Source organism: Homo sapiens, chromosome 3, assembly GCF_000001405.40.
Source record: "Homo sapiens chromosome 3, GRCh38.p14 Primary Assembly".
In the NCBI taxonomy this organism is placed as follows: Eukaryota; Metazoa; Chordata; class Mammalia; order Primates; family Hominidae; genus Homo; species Homo sapiens.
In genome coordinates, this window is record NC_000003.12 from 165,600,367 (window position 1) to 165,627,404 (window position 27,038).

Sequence of the window (27,038 nt, forward strand, 5' to 3'; positions counted from 1 at the left end):
TACATTAAGGTCTTGTTTTATTTTTAAATATTTCAGTGGTAGAATGAAAGAGTGAGATAGGGAAAGCAGAGAGGAAAAGAGGTGAGATGAAAAAGAGAGTGACTGTATGGAAGAATTAAATTTTACACTTAGAGTGTCTCAATATAAGATTTTCCAGTGAAGAATCTAAATTATATAAATTAATCAATTTCTAAAAGTAAAATATCCCCAAGCTACAGTAGAAGAGTGTCTCAATAAATATGTCAATGCTATGTGGATTTTCTCTGTCCTGTGGGATTTGACTGAGTAAATTAAAGGCTCACAGTACATGTGTTGTCAGAATCAAAACGTCTATTGTGGTAAAATATTTTTCACCAATTGTTCCAAATGTATCTGGAAGTAGTGATGGCAATTGACTGTGGTCACTGAAAAGTATAATTTCACCAAAGAAAAAGAACAAAAAAACCTGAATAGGACAAATGTTAGACTGGTCTCAGGGACAAGAAATTAACTCTTGTACAATGATTGTATTAATAAAATGAGGTTTCAGTTACTTAAGAGGTTTTTAAAAGATCATTTTCTTGGCTCTTAACTTAAAAATAGGCTTTTTATGTGTACTCAAATTTCTTTGTTTCTTTTTTGTATATATGACTTTTTTAAAAGGCATCTGTTTCAAACTTCCGAAGAATGTAAGATATCTTAGTTAACAATGGCAAGAAATACTACGTTCATACAATCTAGAACAATACTTTGCACAAAAAGTGCTCTAGTTATTATTTGTAGAATAGAAATATTTGAAGAATTGAGACCAATACATTTGTTGAATGATTTATATAAATAGTTACTAAGTATATAAATATGTCTTTCCTTAGAATGAACTCATCTAAAAGAGATTTAAAAATGTCAGAATAAAGAAGACAATCTACCAGCACCAAATAGAGTCTAGTTGAGTGTGTGCATGAAAATATTGTTAAGGTTGTCTTCATCAATTCATTCAACAGATATTCCCCTGCAAATGTGGAATAGATGGCAGGAAGAATCTCTTATTCCTCAGTTAGATTATAAGCCAAATGGAGGGAAAAGTAAAGGAGAACCGAAAAATACACTTCATCCTTCAGATGGGAGATTATTTAAAAAATTTTTCACATATCCCTAAACTCATTGCAAATTTTTGTTGGAAAGAATCATATATAGCCCAAGGTTATTGTAACGATGAATACAAATTGGGGGTGAGGAGGGGAATTTTCTGGTAATTATGGGAGACTCCTCTATCTTCCTCTTTTCTTTCAAATCATTTTATTAAAAAATACTTGCAATTTCAAATCCTTTCTCTGTCCCTTTGAGATGCACATAAATATTTTAAAAACCTAAATAAGCTTGTTGCTAGCTGTACAGACCAAGAATGTCTTTTTAAAGGACCTGGGCACCATTTCTGAAATGTAATCATCAAGAAAAGTGGTGCTATCTCCCATTTTTTGTGGAAGAATAGGACCTAACTCAAAAGAGTTCCTTGCTTCAAAACAACTTCCTAACATAAAATCATGAGAAATTTTTTTACTTTGAAGAAAACCATTTAGCTAACAGAAATGGTCATCCCACTTACCAGATGAATTTATGATGAGCTATGTGTGATAAATAGTGTTGTCAAGTCCTCTTATTTGATGATTAGTTATCATTTATTCTGAGACCATGTATGCAATGGCTTGAATCTGCTTAGCTACATAGAAGAGTGAGTTTTTTTTGTTTGTTTCTTTATAATCTCCTAGCAGATTGCCTGTGATACACACCATATTCTGCTTTAATGCTTCTTCAATTAAAACGAAAAAGAAAAGAAAAATTGTCTTTTTCTTCTACCTTTGTGGAGCAGTTTTCTAGGCTGAGAGGAAATTTTATTTTTCAACTATATTCCCTCAATAGTGTGTAACATACACGTTCTCTTAAATTGGCTAAATATATATTCCTTTTTATGTTTTATTTTTATTTTTTAGAAATTGATACAGGTATTTTGTTGCTTGAAAGTTTAGCTTGGAAACAATTTATTTTTTCTTTTGCCCTATACAAATGAAGACTTTTACTTCTTTTCTCCCTTAAAAGACCATATCATATTTGCTCCAGTACTTCCAGCAAGGAAATTGTACACGTTTGAGATGACTGTTGTAACTTACCCTTCTGCCTGGTCACAGGAAATGGTGTCATTTCTTAAAAAGGTAAGAAGGAAGACTGCATGTCAAAAGGAAGTAACAAAAAGAAGCAGGCTCTCTGGTTTAGATTTAGAAGCTAGTACACAATATTAGGTACAGTCATGATAATGTACATTTCTAGAGTGTATTTTTTATTTTTATTTTATATATATATATATATTATTATACTTTAAGTTCTAGGGTACATGTGCATAACGTGCAGGTTTGTTACATATGTATACATGTGCCATGTTGGTGTGCTGCACCCATTAACTCGTCATTTACATTAGGTATGTCTCCTAATGCTATCCCTCCCCTCTCCCCCAACGCCACAACAGGCCCCAGTGTGTGATGTTCCCCTTCCTGTGTCCAGGTGTTCTCATTGTTCAATTCCCACCTATGAGTGAGAACTTGCAGTGTTTGGTTTTTTGTCCTTGCAATGGTTTGCTGAGAATGATGGTTTTCAGCTTCATCCATGTCCCTACAAAGGACATGAGCTCATCATCTTTTACGGCTACGTAGTATTCCATGGTGTATATGTGCCACATTTTCTTAATCCAGTCTATCGTTGATGGATGTTTGGGTTGGTTCCAAGTCTTTGCTATTGTGAATAGTGCTGCAATAAATATATTCTTAATATAAACAAAGCAGGAGACCAATATTTAAAGAAAAACATTTTATCCTACACAAAATTCTATTTGCACGATTTTCTGTATTCACATTTGATCTTTTTGTTTAATACGAAATTTAACTGGACTTCAAGGATGAAAAACAAAACAGCAATAAATTGCAGAACTTCTGTCCAGGATAGTGTGCTTAGAGAAAAAAAATGTGGTGGAAACAAAACCAGCATTTAGATTGTGAAACAATGATGAAATGCCTAAAAGATAATGGAAAAATTCATAAATACAAACAACAATGGTTTAGAACCATAAGGTACAACAGACTACTCAGTTTGCTGGAATTTTTGAAACTTACTCTAGAAGAAAAAACAAACTCATACATATAAAATAAAGATATAGGGACTGAAGGATAATAGAATAGCAAGTTAAAACAATAATGGAGGTATAAATAGGATAAAATGGCTGAATTGAGCAGCAACCTTTCTGAAAGTATTAAGTTTGTTTAAAAATATATGAAAAAGTATAGTTGGTTTTAGAGTGGAAAAGGTTGTATATGATTAAGACTAAATCAATAAACACTGACATTCAGTTGTTTATGATAAAAATTATTACACATTCTATGCATGTTCTTCTTTAATATATTATCAAACATGAATTGTATTTTAGAAGTATATAATATATTTAATTAAATATCTATTATCAAACATTAAATAATAGCTTGATGTATTTATCAAGGCATTGGAAAAGCTAATTGTAAAAAAATATAAAATATGAAACAATAAAATATACTTCATTTTAACAAATATTTCTTGAATACCTTGTATATGAGAGACACTATAGAAGATACAAAGATAATGTAACCCCTGCCTTTGAATATAATATTCTCTATAAAATAGGTATCAATCAGGTATTCAATCAGAATTTATTAATTGCTTATGGTATAAAAATAACTAAAATTTTCCAAAATCATATATGATGGCAAGATTTAAGTCTTTGATCCATCTTGAGTTAGTTTTTGTATAAGATGAGAGATAGGGATCCACTTTCATTCTTCTACATGTGACTAGCCAATTTTCCCAGCACCGTTTATTAGAGTGTCCTTTCCCCAGTGTATGTTTTTGTATGCTTTGTTGAAGATCAGCTGGTTATAATTATTTGGCTTTATTTCTGGGCTCTCTATTCTGTTCCATTGGTTTATGTGTCTATTTTTATGTAAGGAGCATGCTGTTTTTGTATCTATATAGTCTTATAGTATAACTTGAAGTCCAGTAATGTGATGTGATACTTCCATGTTCATTCTTTTTGCTTAGGATTGCCTTGGCTATTCAGGCTCTTTTTGGTTACATATTAATTTTAGGATTATTTTTTATAATTCTGTGATTAACAATGTTGGTATTTTGATGGCAATTGCATTGAATTTGTAGATTGCTTTGGTCAGTATGATCTGTTTCACAACATTGATTCTTCCAATCTATGAGCATAGAATGTGTTTCCACTTGTTTGTGTCATCCCTGACTTCTTTCAGCAGTGTTTTGTAATTTTCCTTGTAGAGATCTTTTACCTCCTTGGTTATGTATATTCCTAGATATTTTACTGTTTTTCTTCAGCTATTCTAAAGGGGATTGAGTTCTTGATTTAATTCTCAGCTTGGTCATTACGATAACAGTGCTAATAACTTGCAAACATTGATTTTGTAATCTGAAACTTTACTGAATTCATTGATCAAATCTAGGAGTCTTTTGGAGGAGTATTTAGGATTCTCTAGGTATGCAATCATATCATCAACAAACACTGATAGTTTGACTTTCTGTTTTCCAACTTGAATTTACTTTACTTCCTTCTCTTGCCTGACTGCTCTGGCTAGGACTTCCAGTTCTATGTTGAATGCAAGTCATGAAAGTGAGCATACTTGTCTTTTTTTTAGTTCTCTAGGGAATATTTTCAACTTTTCACCATTCAGTATGATTTGGCTGTGAGTTGCTTCTCATACATGGCTTTTATTATTTTGAGGTATAATCTTTATTTTCTTTTGTTTCTTGTTTTTTATTTTTTAAGAGATGAAGTCTTGCCATGTTGTCCAGGCTGGTCTCAAACTCCTGGGCTCAGCCAATCCACACACCTTGGCTTCCCAAAGTGCTAGGATTATAGGCATGAGCCACTGCACCCAACCTAGTTTTGATCTTTCTATGCCTACTTTGTTGAGATTTTTTTTTTATCATGAAGGGGTGTTGAATTTTATTAAATTCTTTTTCTATCTCTATTGAGTGGATACAGGCACTGCATCTTACCACATCAAAAAGGAACAACTGAGGAAGCTAAAACACTGAGTTTTGTGTCTCCCCCCTTCCCCCCAAAAAAACCCAGGTGTTTTGAAACTTTATTATTTGCTTCAGGGAATTCTGGTATTTCATCTGCCCCTGTTAACAGAATATAAAGTTCTAAAGAGATTAATCTGGCCTACTTTTTCTTTTAGCTCACTTTATTATTTACCTTCCTAAATTCAATTATTTAGGGAGAAACCTGTGACAGACATTGAACATTTTTAGAGAAGAATAAATTGAAATTCGAGTTAGATGGACAACACTCTTCTCTTTTTAAGCCAAGTACTCATAATAACATTTTTGTGGAAGCAAATTAAGACAGAAACTTATCAGTTTAAATAAATAATTTATTCTAGGTTTGTTCTATATATGGATCAAACTCTAGCAATTAATTGCTTTTGCTAGGAAAGTGGTGCTACAGACTCAATTTGAAGGCCACCCCTTCCAAGAGGTCTTTGTTCTCTTAGGAAAAAAGTGTAACGATTGTAGTTTTAGGAAGTCTTGGATGAAAATTAGTCTCTAACCCTTTCTACTTATTTGAATAAGACAATCAATCTCCCAAAGTTCAGTTACTCTGTCTAAAACAGTGGGAATATTATTACATAATACTTACAGAAATTGTAAGGAAAATTGAATGCCGTAATATTTTTAAAAGGAAGCACAGAGCAGGCACACAGTAGCTGCTTAATAAATGCTAGTTCTCTAGTCTGGTAAATGAAACTATCTGGAGGATGTGCTATTATACATATGCTATTTTATTTATAAACCACAAACTCAAACTTACTATTTTGGCATCTATGGAATACATATCTACAAAGGAAGTAACCATACGATAGTATAAAATGATAGAACAAAAGTGTCTTTGGAATTGTTGATTATGAAATAACATCCCTTCAGAATTTTATTACAATTAGGTTAATTGGTTACTTATTATTTTATATGGATTGTTTAAAAACAAAAATACAAACAGCAAACAAAATATATTGTTCATTTTCCAAAAGATTTTATAAATTTTCTGGAATTTTGCTAGATTTTTGTTCCTGGAATTATAATTTTAACAAGAACGATTATTAAAGACACTCCTGTTTATTAAACTAATGGTGAATTAATACTGACCCATGTTCATATCCAGTCCAATATTATGTCTCATTTCTTATCTCTATGATGTGTTAACCTAAAATATAGAACTGCATTTCCTACCTCTGTGGAGATATTATCAACATAATTACAATCCATATATTTTATGTGAGAATTGTTTGAGCACTCTATTACAACAAGTTCAAAGAGGCGTTTTTCTGAACCAATTGGTTTTTATCTCTAGTCTCCATGAGACCCACAAATTCTTTAGCTACTCTACGATTACTTTCTTAAGGAAAGGTAATAAGGGTTTAGCAGTGTACTTATTTGGCAGTTACACACAACACTGTGAAATAAATCTTCCAATATGTTGAGTTAAAGAATCCTGCAGTATAATGCTCCCCTTTAAAGTATTGTAATCAAAAATTTCTAGAGCAATTCTAACCAAACTCAACCACAGTACCCTTCACTCTCAAAAACACTAAAAACACCTACATCACCACAGGGCATTGAACATAAACTTAGATTTAGTATATTCCACTTCAATAACTCCTATATGAACTACCTTTCAAGAGGAAATGTAGAAATCATTTGTAGTTTTAACAACTGACTAGTTATTGTAGCTATGGAGCAGAAAGAATCCTTAGCATTTATCAACTTGACTTTTATATTCAAAACATTTAACAAAGAGTTTTGCTGTCATGAAGAAAAAAATATTCTATGCAGCTGAATTCTGAGCCTTCTTCTTCTTTCTGTATACCAGTAACAATAAATGTCTAGATTTGTTTTCTCTTGTATCCATTTCCTCATGTTGTCTCTGTAGCTCTGATAATAGACATCTATTTTAAAATGAGTACTCAGTGCACTTTGACATAATTGAGCACTAATCTGATGGGAAGCATTAGGTGTTCTGGTTAAAGACACAATCACATGGAGTTGTTATGAACTGGGTAAAAGCAAAGTCTGAAAATTTACATTTAGTTCTCTCCATCTCTCTTTATACATCCTTCCATTTGTATAGAGAGATATAGAGGTGTTTGATAGCCTTCATTTAAAATGTTTTAAAATAGTTTATTAAACCTTCCTGAAGTAGTCAGGGTTTTGTATAGAAAAATCCCCATGAATTTAGATGGTCTGGTAAGGTAAAAAAGAGAAGTCATATGTTATTTTAACAAACTTATATAAAAATTATGTACAACTAGTTTTCAGTTATGGATAGTAGATTAATTTTATGATTTTCCATACCTTTCTGTTTTTTAAAAAATCTTAAAGAAATAACTAGTAATTATGGAGCTTGATTTGTTAGTTACCTTTTAGGACAATTGATGCTATGAGTTTTTTTTGCTTATTTGTGTTTTGTTTTTGGTTATCTTCAAGACCAACATATATTATACATTTGTTTCTTTTGCTTTTCCAAAGATTGATATATCTCTTATAATAAAGTTTTAGAAAAATAATCTTTCAGTATGTTTTTAGGGAGCAACCTAAGACATTGTCTGTGAAAAGTCTTACTTTGACACAAATAATCACTCACACTACAGGTTTGCTGAGAGGCATTGGGATCTTGTACTCCTTTAACTTAAAAAAATCATATATTGGAGGAACTCTGAAGTATTCTGCTCTTATATAATTATATGTAATAAAATAGATATGCTTAAAGAAGATAACTTGCTGTGAGAGGACCCAGGATGTAGGCATAAGTTGGATCTAATTTTGGCGACATAAATTTAGCCAAACCTTTGAAGAATGCAGCTTCAGTTTTTTGATTTTTTGTTTTCTCCAGTTACAAAACAACTGAGATGTACTTGTTTTTTAAATCATTTCCAAATGATCATTCTGAGTTTCTGTAATTTATATTTTTTGAAATTATGATTCAATCATTTATATCTGACAATAATCATGGCAAGATTTAGGTAATCTTCTCTAACTTGAGGTTGCCTAGATAATTTAATGATTTTCAAATTTCCAAGGTATTTTATCATTTACCCACATTAAGGATGGTCTCCTTTTCTAAACATGGCAGTTTTTAAACCTTTGTTAAAAATCACATTGAGATAGAGATTTCAGGAGTTGAAGAAAAAGAAAATGGTCAGAGTTTTACATTCCTTTTAAGTCCCTATGTGTTCAATTATGAAACAACACAAAGATAACTTGAGATCCTATGAATTAAACTCAAAGTTATCCTTTTACATTCATATGAATTAAAAATTCAAACAACTCAAAGATAACAAGACATTCTTTGTTCAGAATTGGCATTGTTTGCAGCTATTAAAGACAAATGAAGGTCCACTTTCAGCACATCTCTGGATATCCACAGAAAATTTCTGGCCTACAGCTATTTCAAAAGAGAAAATGTTCTAAGTAAAATTTTTAAAATAATGTTTCCTAGTTTCAGACCCATGGTAAAATTTATAATTTCTACTCATTGCAATCATATGAGACTCCTGGCTATGCCAAAGGCTAATTAAAGGTAGCCTAAAGATCTCTCCAAGTAGGGTAAGAGATCATATAAACAAATTAAAGTTGGAATGTCACTCATTAATTTTCATCGCAAACAATTAAGATAGTTTATTACACATTATGGATTTGATCTACCTTGATTAAAAATTCTTGTTATAGTATTAATTTTCTTTATTTCGATGTTTTTTTCCATTGAATAACTTCAATATTTACATCTTCTCTTTAACTTCAATATTCACATCTACCTGTTAGGATGGTGTTGAAATAAAATAATTGTTTGCCAGGTGCAGTGGCTTATGCCTGAAATCCCAGCACTCTGGGAGGCCAAAGTCGGGGGATCATTTGAGTTTAGGAGTTCAAAGCCAGCCTGACCACCATGGCGAAACCCCGTCTCTAATAAAAAATATATATATAAATATTAGCCAAGTATGGTGGTGGACACCTATAATCCCAGCTACTCAGGAGGCTGAGGCAGGAGAGTCAGTGGAACCCAGAGGTTGCAGTGAGATTGCCCCACTGCACACCAGCGTGGGCACAGAGCAAGACTCCTTCTCAAAAAAAAAAAAAAGAAAATTGTCACAGTAGAATTTAATATATAGAAAAAATACCATTTAACAGTAAAGATGAACTAAAACTCAAAACCAAATTTGTCAATAGCAGTCCTATGCAAAAAGAAGTGCTAAAGGGAAATCACTAGGCAAAAATAAATGATTCTATAGAGAAACCTAAAAATGCAATAAATAACAGAAATACAATTATTTACTTTTTAAGATGATTTTAGTAATTGTGAACTTTCATATATGTTTAATATTAAATATATGAAGAAAATAAAAAGTCAGGAAGTGGTAGATGGAATTAAAATTTTGAAGACTATAATATTGCCTAAAATTATAAAATATTAATTTATATTTAACAGTGATTATTCAATAATAATGTAATCTCCATGTATTCTCTAAGTGAACAATAAAAGGATGTATTTAAAAAAGCTAATAGGGAAGGTTATAAAAATGTACTTTATTAATTTGTGAGAAAAAATAGAGTACAGAAAAGTAATTTAAAACAGTTTTGAGGAATATAAAACAAAGGAAAAATGGTAGCTTTTACCACAACAATCAGTAACTGAATTAAATGTAGTAACAATCAAATACAAATTTAGTTAGACTAGTTTAAAAAACAATAAAAAACTGCAGATGAAATATATAGAAAGACATAGAAAAATGAAAATAAAGTATACCATGAAAACACTGATTAAAATACAGCTGTTGTAGCTATTAATTACAGGAAAGTAAACTTTAAGGCAAATAGAATTACTAAAGATAGAGAGGGATATTTAATGATGGTAAAAATATAAATCCTTCAAGAAGGATTCTAATTATGAACACTGAGTAGCATAGCTTAAAAAGACATAAAGCAAAGCTTGACAGAACAAAAGAAGAAAAAGGCAGTCCAAAACCTTAGTGGAAGCTATTTTCACAGCATTCACATTTCACTGTTAACACAACTGGTAGACAAGTAGAAGATCTGATTAACACAGTGAACAAATCAGGCCAAATTTGGATACTCAGAACACTGCATTTTGTACCTATAGAACATATATTACTTTCAATTTATTGTATACTTACCAAAATTGACCATATGTAGATTTAAGTGGATTTATTTTAAAATCAACATCAACAACAATAATAAAGGGTAACTAAACATGCATGAAATGTTTGAAATTAAACAATAAACTTTTAAAAACCCATGACTGAATGATGTATTTTCAGTACAAATTACCACATAATTTTGATTAAATGATGATAAAATTACAATACATCTAAACTTAAGAAATTGAATTTAACTGTACATATTAGGAGATTTGTAAGTTTAAATGAAACTTTAAGAGAAAAAAGCTTGAAATAAATGATATATAAGTACATTATAAGAAGTTGGGGGAAAAAGCCAATTAATGCCAAAAGAAATGGACGAAAAAATAATAAGAAAAAAATTAACAAAATAGAAACAAAACAAAATTAGAGGGAAACAACAAAAGCAAAAGTTATTTTTCTCTAACAAGACTGTTAAAATTAATAAGAGTTTGGTAACACTGGTCAGGGGGATGAAACTAATAAAAAAAGACATTCCTACAATGCTACAGACATTAGTCAGATAAAATACTATTTTGAACAAATAAATATAATTAAAATAGAAATTTAAACAAAATTTATCAAAAAGGTAAAATAAAATAGAACAAAATTATCTATTTAAATAAGTTAATATGTAATTTATTAACCTGAATATCTTAAAGTTATTTTTTCCTCATATTCAAGAAAGAAATAACACTAGACTTATGCAGACCTTTCCAGAATATAGAAAAAGAGGAAATGTATTCTAATTTATCTTATGAACTCAATGTAAATTTGAAATCAACACCTGAAAAAACATTAGAGAAAAAGAAAATGATGGGCCCATCTATCTTTTAAACATAGATGCAAAAATTGTAAAAAACATTTTATCAAGTCCAGTGTTATACAGAATGGATAATAGTTCATGACTAAACAGGATTATTCCAAGTATATAATAATAGCCTAATATTCAAAACCCTATAAATTTACCATGTTAACAGAAAGAAAAGGAGAAAAGATTATTAGAACATCTTGTTAGATGTACTAAAGCATTTGACAAAAAATTCAAAGTTAATTCATGATGAAAATTCTTAGCACAATGTAGGATTAGAAGAGGGCATCTTTAATTTTAGAACAATATCTACTAGAAAAAAACTATAGCAAACACCATATTTAGTGATATTTTACTAAATTTTCTTTTTACATAGATATGTGTTAGTTATCAACATTTTTCAACACTGTATTAGAGGCCCTAACCAATACAATAAGACAAGAAGGAAAAAAATTAATAATTTGAATAAAAAAACTCATTATTTACAGATAATGTGTTTGTGGATAGAGACAATCCAAAAGAATCTTCAAAATAAACATTACAATTCATAAGTGAATTTAAATAAATTTAGCAAACAGGTTTTAATAAGAGATCAATGTATAAAATTAATTTTTTTATATGATAATAAACAAAAATAAAATAAATTACAAATAAAATAATATTTACAATAGCATACAAATTAAATACCAAGGAAAAACTTCTAACAAAAAATGTGGAAAACTTCCACACTAAAAACCACAAACATATTTTAAGATAAATTACAGACCTAAATTAAATAGAAGTATATACCATGATCATGAATTGGCAAGATCAATATTATAAAAATATTAATTATTCTTAGGAAGAAGATCAATAAAGTCTTCCCTTAAAATGATGTAGTATAAATTAGAGAAGACAGATGAAATTTAATAGAGCTTAAGCAAGAGAAAAAAGCAAAATTAATTCAGCTAGATTGGAGAATGATTGGCCAAAAACAGTTTTTGGAAAAGGGAACATTTGTAATTGTAGTTTAATAAAAGTTTTTTGAGCAATGTGTGTCCAGCCACATGGGTGTTAAAGTCATGAGACTACCAAGAAGGATGGGGGCGAATAAAGGTAGGTGCTAATATTATACAACACTTTCAATGGAATAATTTTTATGTCTTCAAGGTCTCTCACAGTCCCCTCTACTGTTCAACAGCTTGCTGGGTATTATAATTTGATCACATTTAGATTTGTTCAGAATTCTAGATTGATACCACTCATATTAATTATGGTCACAGATTCACTGGTTATTGTAGACATCAGGGCTTCTTGTAACTTTTGTCTTTGTAGTTGAATTTAAATTATCTGACCAATGAGTTTCTGTGCAGAGCATTTAAGAGTCTTTGAGAACAGAGCAAACAATTATGCAGATATCAAATAGTAATATCATAATTATCAGAATGTCTCAGACAATGCATTTTAGTCAAGAGTCTTGATTAAGCCAAGAGAATAGGTTTCATTCTTATTTTGAATCTGTAGAGAAGAGAAATTTGATATAAATTTGCATAACACTTACTTTTTCCTCTAATTTCTTATTAGTTTTCCTAACCTTTTTGTTTATATTGAAAAATATCCAATACGTCTCTTGTTAGATGTGTGTATTCTTCTTTCCCTAAGTCAACACGTGTACTTCCCTGGAAGCTGAGTATATTTAAAGTCTTTATTGCATCACAGCTTGTCCAGTTTTTACCAAGTCTTACAGCCTTACTTAGCTTGCCTAGGTTATTAATGTTTTTTTCATCATGGCATAATAAATTATGTTTCTGAGCTTTCGCATGGCTGTCAAAGCTACATACTAGGAGACAAAACAGCTATCCACCATTCACTGGTAGACATAGTTTGTTATATCTTTATTCAGGCTTAAACTTCCTCAAATTCCAGTAAATATTCTCTTGGAAATTTAGACCCTGCCTTTCTACGTAGGGGCCATAGTTATTTAAGGTTTCAGTATCTGCAATAAAAAAAAAAAGAGTAAGAATTTTTTATCATTTAAAAGAATTAAGTCAGATTATTACAAAACTGAAATACTCATAAAAATTATGTTTTTAATAGCTATCAAATAAGTAGGAATTATCTAGTAATCTTGGGTCCCAGAGATTGAAAATATTCAAACAATGTGACCCAGAGTCTATATTTAAGTATGAAGAAGAATTAATCAAATAGCTTTGTTTGTATTCATGAAGAATTTCTAGGATCAATGGCTCCCAAATGAATGTTAAATTTATTTTTAAAAATTGCTGCATAGTTTTGATAAGGTTGGAATCATTAAAATTATGACACTTTGTCATAAAAATTTAATTTCTTTTGAAAAGCAGGAACTTTGGGGTGATTTCTGGTTGGAGGCATATATCACAATTGTCTCCTAAACTTAATAAGAATCAAATAGAAAAGAAAAAACAAGATTGTCTCCTAAACTTAAAACTGTCAGAGCATTTAGTAGAGTTGGCAATCAGGCTAGCAACAGGGCAAATGGGAATGTAGTATATAAGGTTGTAGAAGGCAATGAATAGTCAAATTTTGTCCTGAAGGTTTAGAGAAAAAAACCTTATTTAGTCCTGAAGAATAAGAGAAGGAAGTTTATGGTATTTTTGTAAAACCTGTTTTCAGGTACCTTTAATCATTAGATTTAGTTAAACACACAACTTCTTTGTGGGGAATAATAGTCTACGATGATTTTTTCTTTTTTATTTTGATTTTTTTAAATATTAATTATTCTCAATTCTCTTTAGCAGTATGTAGTGAAAGGAAAGTGGTATTATTATTATTTTGCACAAGGATATAGTTTCCTAGGGAAAATGGTACAAACTCAGCAATCTGATTAAACCTTTAGCTAGAGTGTGGACTCATTGGTGCCAAGTGTAATATAAATGACAGTTTTAATCTTTGGTGTTTAGACAAAGAAGACTGAAGAAATAACTTGTAGAATCTCATCTTGGCAATCAGTAACACTAAACTAACAGAGAGAGGAAATTAAAAGCCATTAAAATTTAGAGGAGAAAGATACAAAGATAGTTGTAGCAGTTTTTGGCTTTCTGCATTCAGGTGTCTTGATCTCAAGGCTCTGGATGAAGGCCATGTCTAGTGGTCTGTTTTAGATCAAAGTTTCTTAACTTGTCCTAAGTTTTCTATACAAATAGAAGAAAAGTTTTATGGTTATGTAGTCCAAGGAAAGGGATTTTGAAGGAAATGCTTAATGTTAGTGAAGACAGTCTCTTGTGAATCTCTCCAAGCCAAAGGCTCAGATTTTTCAGCTTTCATTCGATTATATACAAAGTGTCATTAAGTTCAAAAATGTTAGCATTTCTTTGTACAGCGTCTTATGAGAACAAGATTTTCTCTAAGTTCCCTACTACTAATTGGTCAGAGAAAATGAAAAATAACTTCGAATTTTTGAGGCAACAAGATTTACCATTTTGCGTATTGTCATGGCCTAGAAAATGCGCTTGCATCTAAAAAAATTGAAGTTTGTTTTTAAAATCTTTGTCAGAAAAAGGAGGAAATCAATCCTGTAAGACTTTCAAACTGAAGCACAGAACAGAAAACCAACCATTTGTAATATAAGAGTGGAGTACTGGCTCAGTATTTGCAAAAACTAATATAACATTTCTGTAAATCTGAGGAATGTCACTATCACGTATATTATTTATTTCCCTAAGGAAATATAAAAAGGTATCATGAGGTTGGATGGAAAGGTATACTTAAAAGAAAAATGCTGAATATGGATCTACCACTGAAGTTACCTGCCTCAGGGGTAAGGTATTTTTGAATTGTATTATGGTTGAAAACTGCAAAGAATGAGGGAGTACAAACTTGTTAATGAATGGTCCATGAATCTTGTACAAGGTAGTAACCACACTCATTTGGCTTTTTGATGGGCAGAAGAGGCATAACAAGGGCTAATATAGGAAACTTTGAGTACTTTTTGGAGGTATGTAGTATGATGGGTCTTCAAAAGTCTCTTTTATTAATAGACATTGGGTTAGTTTCAGTAAGACATAGATGGATTGATGAAGATCTTTATGGCTTCAGCCTCTTTCATCTGCTTTAGATATAAACTTTCTTTAGCCAAAAGGCTATTGGGAACAGATTCAAGGTCTGAGATGTTGGTAGGGAAGGCATCAGAGTGAGTGATCACTCCAGGCTATCACAAAACTATGGATCAGAATTCATCTCCTTCTGGAATTTTCAGAATGAGGTCATCTGGTTTATCTTTTATAATGGCACCTCATTTCCAAATAAGTCTTGTTCCCACAAATTCACTGGAGTAACATCACTAAACATAAACGTATATTGATAAGTTCCAGAGAGACAGGAACTGAGTGAGGCAAAAGCAGTGTTTGTGTGGTATCTCAGATTTCTACCAATAAAATGTCTTTGTTACTCTGAAAAAGAAATGACGGAAGGGTCATATGGTTTATAGTAGGGAGTGTAACCCTGGGAAGTAACAAGAAATGGAATGTTCCAGTTTTGCAATTGCATGAAATTTTTCTTCCTTTTTCGTTAATAGAAATTGTAGGTAGGTGAGTAGCTACTTCCTTGCAGGTGCGACTGGAGTCTATCTTTTCAGCTAAAATAGGGAAAGTTTTCTTCCATTACCCTTTTGCCTTAAAATATTATCAGACATCTTTGTCTAGGCTAGGCTAAAGGTGTCCTTGTTCTTGGGTTTATCTAATTTCTAATATGAAAAGCTAATAATTTGGTTTGTATTTTTTTTCTTTTTCTGGATCTTTAAAGTTTTGAAAAAAAAAAAACCTAGTAGTTCAGAGAGCTAGAAAGAGCTGCCATTCTATTTCTTGTTTGTTTTTTAGTTTGCTAACAAAACCTGGCACACTTGGTTAAATACCATCATTGAGAAAGGTGGATATGACAGTTGTAATGTTTTTTCCTCTGAGAATAGCAATGTCTCAAAAGGCTAGAATGAGATGAATTTATTTATTTATTTATTTATTTATTTATTTATTTTCTGTTTCAGGAGTGCAATTTTGACCAATTACTTTTTACTGGAAGAACTTCAAGAATAGCTATGAAGCATATGAAGAGGTCTTAGTAAGTTCTCTCTCTCTCTCTTTCTCTTTCTCTCATACAGTCATGTGCTACATAAAGGTGTTTTGCTCAACAATGGACTTCATATACAGTGGTGGTCCCATAAGTTTATAATGAAGCTGAAAAAGTTATCTCACCTAGTGATGTCATAGCTGTTGCACTGCAACACATTACTCATGGGTTTGTGGTGATGCTGATGTTAACAAACCTACTGCACTGCCAGCCACATAAAAATATAGAACATACAATTATGTACAGCATAAAATATTTGATAATGATAATAAATATGTTATGGCCTTATGTATTTACTATACTAGCCTTCTTGTTTTCATTTTAGAATGTACTCCTTCTACTTGTAAAAGAAGCTAACTGTAAAACAGCCTTAGACAGGTCCTTTAGGAGGTATTTCAGAAGAAGACATTGTTATCATGGGAGATTACAATTTCACTTCCTGTTATTGCCCCTGAAGAATTCCCAGAGGAACAAGATGAGGTGGTAGAAGGAAGGGATATTGATGATCCTGACCCTGTGCAGACTAGACTAATGCATGTGCTTTTGTCTTAGTTTTTAACAAAAAACTTAAAGAGTGAAAAAGAAATTTTAAAAATATAAAAAAGTTTATAGAGTAAGACTATACAAAAAAGAAAATATTCCTACATAGCATACAGTGTGTGTTTTAGACTGTGTTATTACAAAGGAGTCAAAAAGTTAAAAGAAGTATATAAAGTAAATAAGTTACAGTAATCTAAGGATAACATTGAAGAAAAAAATTTATTTTATGTTTATTGTAGCTTAAGTGTACAGTGTTGATAAAGTATACAGTAATGCCCTAGGCCTTTATATTCAGTCACCACTCACTCACTGACTCACTCAGAGCAACTTCCAGTCTTGCAAGCTCCATTCATGGTAAGTGCCTTATACAAGTGTACCATTAAAAATATCATTTATATGCTATTTTTACTGTACCTTTTCTATGTTTATATACAAAAATTTTTACAATTGTATTATAATTGGCTACAATGTTGAGTACAGTACCTGCTACACAGGTTCGTAGCCTAGGAGGAATAGGCTATACCATATGGCATAGATGTGTAGTAGACTATACCTACTCTATGTAAGTACACTCTATGAGGTTCACACAATGAAGAAATTGCCTAATATCTCTCAGAATGTATTCCTGTCATTAAATGACACATGGCTGTATATACATAATATATAGTGCATATATATATGTTATTTACATATAACATATAAATGACATGTAACATATAAAATGATATTATATAACATATACAGGTGTATATATATGTTATGTATAACACATATAGCATACAGTATTATAATGTTATTTTTATATGACATACATAAATATATATATATCTGTTGTTAAATTTTGATCCTTATATTGAATACAATTTTGATAATCTATTTTACTTTTTCTGACCAAATATTAGTATCACTGAGTTCCACAAAATGATGAAATAATTGGTAGATATTAAGGCATCCTAAGGTATATGTCTTATGGAAAAACGTAAATTGTTTGTTGACTTTTGTCTTTTCTTTTGAGGGCTAGATATTTCATTAGATTATATTAATCAGGAACAAGATTTAACCAATAAAAATAAGGCTAATCATGATATCTAACTCTTTATAAGACATTGTAATGAGATATAATCTAATGAGAATTGTGTGCTCAGCAAGAGGTAGAGGAAAAAAAAGGTTCTTGCAAAGTACAGAAGTAGGAAGAGCAGGAACAGAGCAAGGGGATGGAGGAATTCAAGTCGAGGTCACAAAGGAGGCCAAACAAAAGTTGAATCAAGAGGAAGAGAAGAGTTTAAGTTTGGATATTTTAGTCTTTTTATTTCTATATTTATATTGTTTTTTATATTTATTTATTATTCAAAAGATATATTTGATCTTTCTAAGGTCTCTTAGGGGAAATAGTTTTAGAATTTTTCTGTGTTGTAGAGAGCTAAATCTGGACAATGACTTGGAGTTTCAATGAATGCTTATATTCAAATATGGATAGAAAACCGGAAACAAATATTTATGCCTATGGAAACTGGGCTGTACATTTCCATGTCATCTATAACAGCCCTGAGTAATGAAAAGATTAAAAGAAACTTATTCAAAGACAATAAAGGAAATAGTAATGATTTAGGAGGTTGTATTAGTCCGTTTCATACCGCTATAAAAATGTGGCTAAGACTAGGTAATTTATAAAGAAAAGAGCTTTAACTGACTCACAGTTCTGCAGGGCTTAGGAAACTTGCAATCATAGCAGAAGTCGAAGGAGAAGCAAGCACCTTCTTCACAAGGTGGCAGGAGAAAGAGAGAGTGAGGGGGGACCTGCCAAGCACTTTTAAACCAAGAGATCTCTTGAGAACTCACTATTACGAGAACAGTATGGGGGAAACCACTTCCATAATCCAATCACCTCCCACCAGGTCCCTCCCTCAACACATGGGGATTACAATTCAAGATGCGATTTGTTTGGAGACACAGAGACAAACCGTATCAGTAGTCTTTAAAGAAAGACGACAGCGTGGTCATCAGCAAGACTTATTCAGATGTTCAGTAGGAGAATCTGAAAATGAAAAAAAAAAAAATAAGAGAGAGAGAGAGAGAGAGACAGATCTGCAAACTATCATTGCTGAAGTAATCCAGGTTGAGGAGCAGCAAGTCCAGTATTGACCTGAGTCGAGGTGCCAAAAACTGTGGAAGAAAATATAAAACAGAGCACTCTTAAGCATAAGCTTTCTTTTGAAATGTTTCCATGTGAGAATGAGCATGCTGCCACGTAAGTCACCTGTTTTATAACATAAGTGTAATAATTCCATGACATAGTGAATTACATAACATATAAATTACAATGGGAGTAGAATGGTCTTTTAATCAACAGTGCTGTATCAATTGGATATTCCCATTAGAAAAAGTAGATTTTATTTCATTTCACCCTATATAAAATATTAATTTATTAGGGATTATAATTCTAAAAGTGAAAGGTAAAACACTAAAAGTCCTAGAAGAAAATATGAAATATCTAGTGTATATCAAATGTATCAAGTGGGACACAAAAAATACTAACTATAAAGATACATAAATGGAATTACATTAAAGTTAAACATAACTGCTTATCAAAAAACACCATTTAGAAAATAAAAAGGCAAGCTACATTTGCTATGTATACATCTAACAATCAATTTACTTCTAGCAAGTCTAAAGAACTCCCCAAAAGATGGGTCAAATTAATTTTTAAAAATCTGCAAAAATTTTGAACATATAGTCATAAAAACTTATTCAAATGTACACTCAACATTAAATGGACTGAAAAAGCAGTGCATTTAATTACTTAATGAAAAACGCAAAGGAAAACCACAAACAGATAACACTTGATATCTACCAGAAGCACTAAAATTTAAGGCTGAAAATACCAACAATTGTATAGAAAATATAACACACACACTTCTAATGTAAGAATAAATTGGCACAACCAGTTCTAAAGCACTGCTTAGCGTATCTACTAAGACTAACATTTTGACTCAGTAATCCCTCCCTTATGTATATACCAAACAGATTTGCCTATTGTTACCACAAGATATGTAGCAGAATGTTCATACCAGCAAATAAAATAAGAGAAACAACTAAAATACCAACCAGTAGTAAAATTGATTAACAATTTTTATCATATTAACTTGAATTCTATAGGACAGTGGTTCTCAGTTGGAGACTATTTCATCCCCAGAGGATGTTTGACAATGTCTAGAGACAGTTTTAGTTGACACAACTGGAGAAATGTTATTGGCTTCTAAGGGGCATATGCCAGCAATGCTGCCAAATATCTTCCCATGCACAGCTCCCATAACAAATAATTATCCAGTCCAAAATGTGCATAGTGCAAGATTGAAAAATTCTGCTATAGAACTATGAGAAAACTACACATAACCACATAGATGAAAAAAATGATACAGAGGAGTTTTACACTGAATACTTTGATTTATGAAAACTTCAGAAACAGACTCATCAAACCCTTTCACTGTGTTAGGAATCAGCTTAATGATTACCTTTGACAGGAAACAGTGATTAGAAAGGGAAGGGAAGGGGTCACTGATAATGGTAGTGCTCTGTAAACACAAAACAGAATTCTAAGCCCCCCAACAGACTGAATGGACCCCTCCTCTCAGCCAAAGGCATTCCAAAGTTGACCTGAAAAACTAGTTCAGGCCATGATAAGAAAAGGGGCTTGGAAATGCCTCATTCAGGCACAACTGACCAGTATTAACATTAAAACAGAGATCTTAAGTCTGACAAAACAGACTTTTTGTAGCAATAACATACCAAATTCTAATCTTACTCTAGTATAGCATCATCATATGACAGATAACAAGCCCTAAAAGAAATTGAAGTATTTTACCCCAATATATATATATATATATATAATTGAACTGCAGATCTTTCTAATAGCAGAGCTTGGTACCTGAGGAGGTGGTTGTCTGTTAGTTAGAGACTCCCCTCAGAAGACAGTAGTCCTGGGATGGGCATGGTGGCTTACACACATAATTCCAGCATTTTGGGAGGCCAAGGTGGGTGGATCACCTGAGGTCAAGAGTTGGAGATCAGCCTAGTCAGCAAGATGAAACCCCATTGTCTCTACTAAAAGTACAAAAATTAGCCTGGTGTGGTGGCAGATACCTGTAATCCCAGGTACTTGGATGTCTGAGGTGGGACAATCACATAAACCCAGGAGACAGAGGTTACAGTGAGCCAAGACTTTAGACTGGGCAACAGAGCAAGACTCCATCTCAAACACAAACAAACATAAAGAAGGCAGTAGATGGTAGTCCTACCACATTATTCAGGCATAAACAGTTAAGTTATTCCCCATGGTTAACTTAATAGCCTCTGTTACAAGCAAGGCTACCACTGAGACTGCTCAGGGGCAAGCTGGCCACCCTTTGGCTACTAAATCAAGTTCCTTACTTAGGTAGGCAACAGGCTACTGGGCTGTACCCTGGGCCTATGTTAGAACTCCCAGTGCCATTCCCTTTATTTCTGACACATAAAGATTAAACATTTTTCCTATGGAGAGATAAATGGCTGGTGTCTTCAGGAAGGCTCGTTTTAGTTGGTCAAAGGCCTTTCTAGGCTCTGGTTCCCAAATTAGACAGTGAGTTTTAGCTGCCTGAGTCTCCTTTATTAAGTGGTATAAGGGACAAGCTATTTCACTCTACCCAGGTATCCACAGTCTGCAGAATCCTGTAATGCCCAAGAATTCCCTTGGTTACTTGACAGTTTGGGGGAGGAGAAAGGAGAAGATTTTCTTAAACCCTTCTTTGACTAATGCCCTAGTCCCCTCTGACAGGACTAGGCCTAGGTATTTCACTGGGGTCTGACAGAGCTGAGCTTTAGATTTTGAAACCTTATATCATCTGTTAGCTAGAAAATTAAGAAGAGCCTTACTGCCTTCCTTAGAGATTTCCTCTGTTGGAGCCCAGAGGAGAATGTCATCTATGTATTGTAAAGCTTTAACCTGAGGATAAAGGAACTCAGAGAGGTCTCTTGATAATTACCTGCCCAAAATAGTGGAGGCTGTCTCAGAATTCCTGAGGTGACACTGTCCAGGTTAACTGGGTGGTTTGGTTAGAAGGATCCTTGAATGCAAACAAATACTGAGAGTCAGAGTATAATGGTATGCAGAAGAAGGCATTCTTTAGGTCCAGGACTGTGAACCATTTAGTTACCTCAGGTATTTGAGCTGGCAGGGTATACAGATTGGGAACCACCAGATGTATCAGAACCACAGCCTCATTAACAAGGTGGAGGTCCTGAACTAGTTTCCATTCCCCATTGGGTTTTTGTTCCCCCAATATCAGGGTATTACAAGGGTTATTGCAGGGCTTGAGGGGGCACTGCATCCTCAAGTTATCAATGATGGCTTCTAGTCCATTCCTAAACTCTAGTTTCAGGGGATATTGTTTCTGGTTAGGAAAGGAGGGGGAATCCTTAAGGTGGACCTTGACCCGTAGGGCGGTTGTGGCTTAGCCAATCTTCCCTTCAATTGCTCAACCTTCTGGGTTAATATCAGTCTCCAATAGAGGGAGACAAAGAGTTTGCCCAGGGGCCATCAGGATGGTGGTCCACAGTTGGGCCAGAATATCCCTGCCCAACAGAGAAGTTGGGCTTTCAGGCAGAATTAGAAATGCATGGGTGAACAAAAGGTCTCCCCAACTTCAACTAAGAGGTTAGGAAAAATATTCAGTAAAAGGCCTTCCTGAGATGCCCCTCATGGTCATGCTAAGAGGAGAGAGGGCCCTGTGTTGGAGAGGAGAACTGAGACCAGCTCTGGTTTCCAAAAGGAGGTCCACTTTTCTCCCTTTGATTTTCAGAATTACCCAGGGCTCCTGGATGGTAATGGTGGTCTGGACCACCGGGAAGTTGAAGAGATGAGCTCTGGGACTCATCAGCCCTGCTGCTGGACCATATGGGAGATTGGTCTGGAACTGGTGACGAGCATCTCTGGGGACAGTCCACCCTCCTCCAGTGGTCCCCATTTCAGATTGGACAAGGTCAAGGTGGCTACTTCATGCTTCCTGGACAATCCTTCCTAAAATGCCCTGGCTTGCCACATCTGTACCAGTTAAAGGGTGTATCCTGGGAATTCTGGGATTTGTTGGCTTGCCTGGTGGTCATTAAAGCTCCTGTATCTTTCCTGTGTTTCCTCTCTGTCTCTCTCGGGCCTCCTTTTCACTTATAAAAAACCAAAGTATCCACTTTCAGGAGGTTCTCTAAAGTACTATCTAGTCCCAGGGCCTATTTCTGCAGCTTCTTCATGATATCAGGAGCTGCCTGAGTAATAAATTTATCTTTCAGGATTAGTTGTCCCTCAACTGAATCAAGAGATAGACAAGTGTGCTTGACCAAGACCTCTCTTAGCCTTTCCAGGAAGGCAGTGGGATTTTCATCAAATCCCTGGTTTATCATGGATAACTTGGTATAAATGAGAGGCTTGGTCCTAGTCCTGTGTAACCCCTCCATTATGCACTCCTGAAAGTCTCCTCTTCCATTCTCCCATTTCGTCATTGGGATTCCATCCAGGGTCATCTATTGGTACTGCCTCTCTTCCAGTTGGATAAAGTTTGTCCCCTTCCCTGATGCTATATGTGATACAAAGCTCATCCCTAAATCTCACTCTTGTTTGCAGAGCAGCCTGCTTCACAGTGTTAGTCAGGGTCTGATTCAAAAGTAACATAAAGTCTTTCCAGGAGAGCTCAAATACTTGGGTGAAATTCGGGAAAGCCTCTATTTATCTGTCAGAGTCATCTGAAAACTTGCCAAGATCCTCCTTAATCTGTTTTAAGTTCTGTAGACAGAAGGGAACCTGGACTTTACTGAGGCCAAATTCACCAGGCATCTGTTGGAGAGCAAGAGCGAGACTGGGGCTTGTCTAGGGTGAGGATTTCTAGGAGGGGGCACGCAAGAGAGAGAAGCTGGATAGGGAGGATGAGGTAGACCTAGAGGAGCAAGGCTGCAGGGAGCTGGCTTCTCTGTTGGAGGTGCTTCTGGGATGTGTTTTATTAGTTCCCTGGGATTGCCCCTTGTAGCCTCCCCTGAGATGGCAAACAGGAGGGACGGATAAATCCTACACTGTCAGGAAAGGTCTGGATTGCCATGCAAGGTAAAGAAAGCCTGCACATACAGGGCCTCAGACCATCTGTCCTCATGTTTACAGAAAAGGTTCAACTGCAGGGCTGTATCAAAATGAATGGGTCCTTCCTGAGGCCAAACCAGTCCTTCTTGTAAAACATAATTTGGCCAAACCTTTGTGCAGAGGGATATGAGGCATTTTTCCTCCACAGTCTGAGGGTCAAATCAGTCCCATTGGTTCAGGGTACACTCCAGAGAAGTACAACCTGGGGATGGTGAAGATAGCTGGTTTCCAATTCTAAAAGACAGGGAAATAGAGGCATCCTTCATTTTCTTTCTTCTTTCAGTGATAACCAGAGGTGTAATGGAGAGAAAGTGGGCATCCTTTATTTCTCTTCCATCTTGTCACCTAGTCCTGGCGACCTTGGCAGGTGCCACCCACGGGTGCCAAAGTGATTTTCACCTGTGCTAACAGAGGAAGTGCTATTGGGTGGGAGTATCTTCTCTTACCCATTACGCCCTATTTTCCCTGCCGTAAACAACCTTTGAGTTCCCTGGGCCTCATCTATGTCATGGAGCATGGCCTCCTTCCATGAAACAGAGATTTAGTTAGCAGGAATTGGTCCTACCCATTTACATTGTGCCTGTTGCCTAGCTTCGGATCCCTCAGATCAGGTTTTTCATTCTAGGGCCTCAATCTGAAGCCTAGAATTGATTTTGGGACAAATTTCAGGGGCTGCATGGATCTGTTTAGATTAAGTCTCAGATGTGCCCTGGTGAATTTGCAGTTATCAGCCAGCAGGGGTCGGTCATCCACTGTTTTTCCTGTTATAAGCAGAGTGCTGGAGATAGGAACCCTCTCACTTAGAAAAGAATAAAGGAAATATCTTAAAGTACAAAAAAAAAAGTGTGTTTTGGGGGGAACTTCTTGCTCTGTACAAATGGGTTTCTTCAACTACTGTATCCCTTCCACGGTTCAGACCAGTAAGGACCACTCAACCATGGGAGGAAAAGCTCTACTGGTGCAGCAATCAGGAGGCACTGGGGGCCCAGTGGCAGCCATGGTTTTTTCCCACCCCTCATGGCCATTGGGCACAGCTTGTGCATGCTGCAGACAGGCCCAGGTGCCCAAGTCAGAAGGGGAGGCAGTAAGGTGGTAAGTCACCGCACCTTGTCCATCCCACGCATCACCTGCAGCCATTAGGGGGAGGTTTGGGGTCGCACCTCTAAGAACAAATGGAAACCAAATTGTTCTAAATTGCTCCCTTGATTGCTGGGCCAAACATACATTGTACTTAGTAACATCTCAGTAGTTTGCAGCATTACCCTTAACATTATACAGAAGAGATAGGAGCCATTTCAAGCCATGAAAAAACAAAAGACACCACAGCAAAGTCTGGGGATCTTGGCCAAAGAAGTTTAGTCTTGGGGCCTTCCAGCAACAAAAGATGCCTTTGGTTGCCCCAGGACTCTACTCTGGTTCCATGGAACGATTAGACTTCCATGAAGAAAAAAAGAGCCAATATTTATTTTACTCAAAGGAAAGAGGGAGGTGTCAGGGTCTTGGAAAAGAGGCAGATCCGACAGCTCTGCATCTGTACTCACCCTTGTGCTGAACCCCTGGATCACAGGCGAGCCCCCAGTTAAGACGGAGGAGTTCCCTGACCCCTTAGTGGGACTTGCAACAGGGGTGTGACTCATTTACTCGGCCGCCATGCACTCAAACCCCTTATGGGAGCATGCAGGTGAGCTGGGGCAAGTGCTTTTGGGCTCTTGCCCCACGGCCATGTCTAGGGGTGCTACGATGCTCTTTTAGTTTTGCCATCTGTGGGTGGCTAAATGTTAACCAGCTCAGTGGAGTCAGGGTGACAGCCTTTTACACCCTGCCCTCTTGGTCCCCAGGTCCTTGTCCATAATCCAGGAAGAATCAGCTCACACAGACTTGAAGAATGGTAAATGCGGGGATTTTATCGGGTGATGGAGTTGGCTCTCAACAGAATGGATGAGGAGCTGAAAAAGAGATGGAGTGAGAAGATGATCTTTCCCTGGAGTTCAGCTGTCTCGCGGCCGATCTCCTCTCTGACCATCCCCAGACAAACTCCTCTCAACGTTCAAAAGCTCCTTCTCTTCTTTCTTTCACTGCTGTGCTGTTCTGCCACTCTGTCAGTGGAGCTTGGGGTTTATATTCATACAGGATAGGAGCATGGCAGGCCAGAGTGGTTTTGGAAAAGGCAGCATTTGGGCACAAAAACATGAATGCCTATTCCCTTTGAGGGACATGGATTACCAGGCTTGAGGGTGGGGCCTTTGCAAGGGAATTGCCCTCTTCTACTAGGTCCCTGCCTCCTGTCCATATCGCTAGCATTAAGATGCCAAGTGAGAAATTTCAGCATTTGAGAATTCACTCTGCCAGCAAGCTAGCAAGTTAGCCAGTCATAATTTTACAGTTGCATCTGGTGGAAAGATATTAGACTTCTGAGTAAGAGCAAAGTTTCTTATTCAATGCAGTAGATTAGCCAGAGTAACACTTCACATCAGTTCTCTGAGCCCCAGTTTTCACAGGGCAACATGATAAGGGCCAGGTGGTACATGAATATACCATGGGGAAGCATTCCAGGAAAGGAACCTCGCCTTTAGGACACTCTAGTCTTATAAATGGGCTGCTGACAAACCTGTTCTTCTCCCCTCTTGAGACAGACACTGTCTTTATACCTTGGAATATAAGCAAGTTCATTTTGGAGAAGTAGGAGGGTCTCTATAATTATTAAACTGGAATGTCTCACGGGTAAGACATCTTTAAATCACTACAGAAGAAGTTACTGGCTTTCTCTTTACTATCTGGAAATGTAAATACATTTGCACCAGAGGGAGTTCCTGTCTCTATCTTTCCAGGGTGGCTTGTAAAAACATTCTTGAGACTATAGTTCTGGAGAACAAAGACTAATGTCTGGATGTGTAGAAACAATAGAGATTCATCAAGAATTATCTAGCAGCATCACAGAAGTGTGGATAAAAAACTGTGATATTATTTTTAACTATCAAAGAATATAAACATATGTGTGTATTGGAAATACACACCCACTACTAGTGATTATTTGTAGAGATTTACTCTCATATCATGGTAAATTTGGAAATTGTCACAAGTTCTTTTAAAAGCACATTTAAAATATGAATTAATATTAATATCATTCATGTTGTTCGACTCAGTACATCCAAGCTAAAGAATTCAAAGTTCTCAGTAGTGTGCTTTA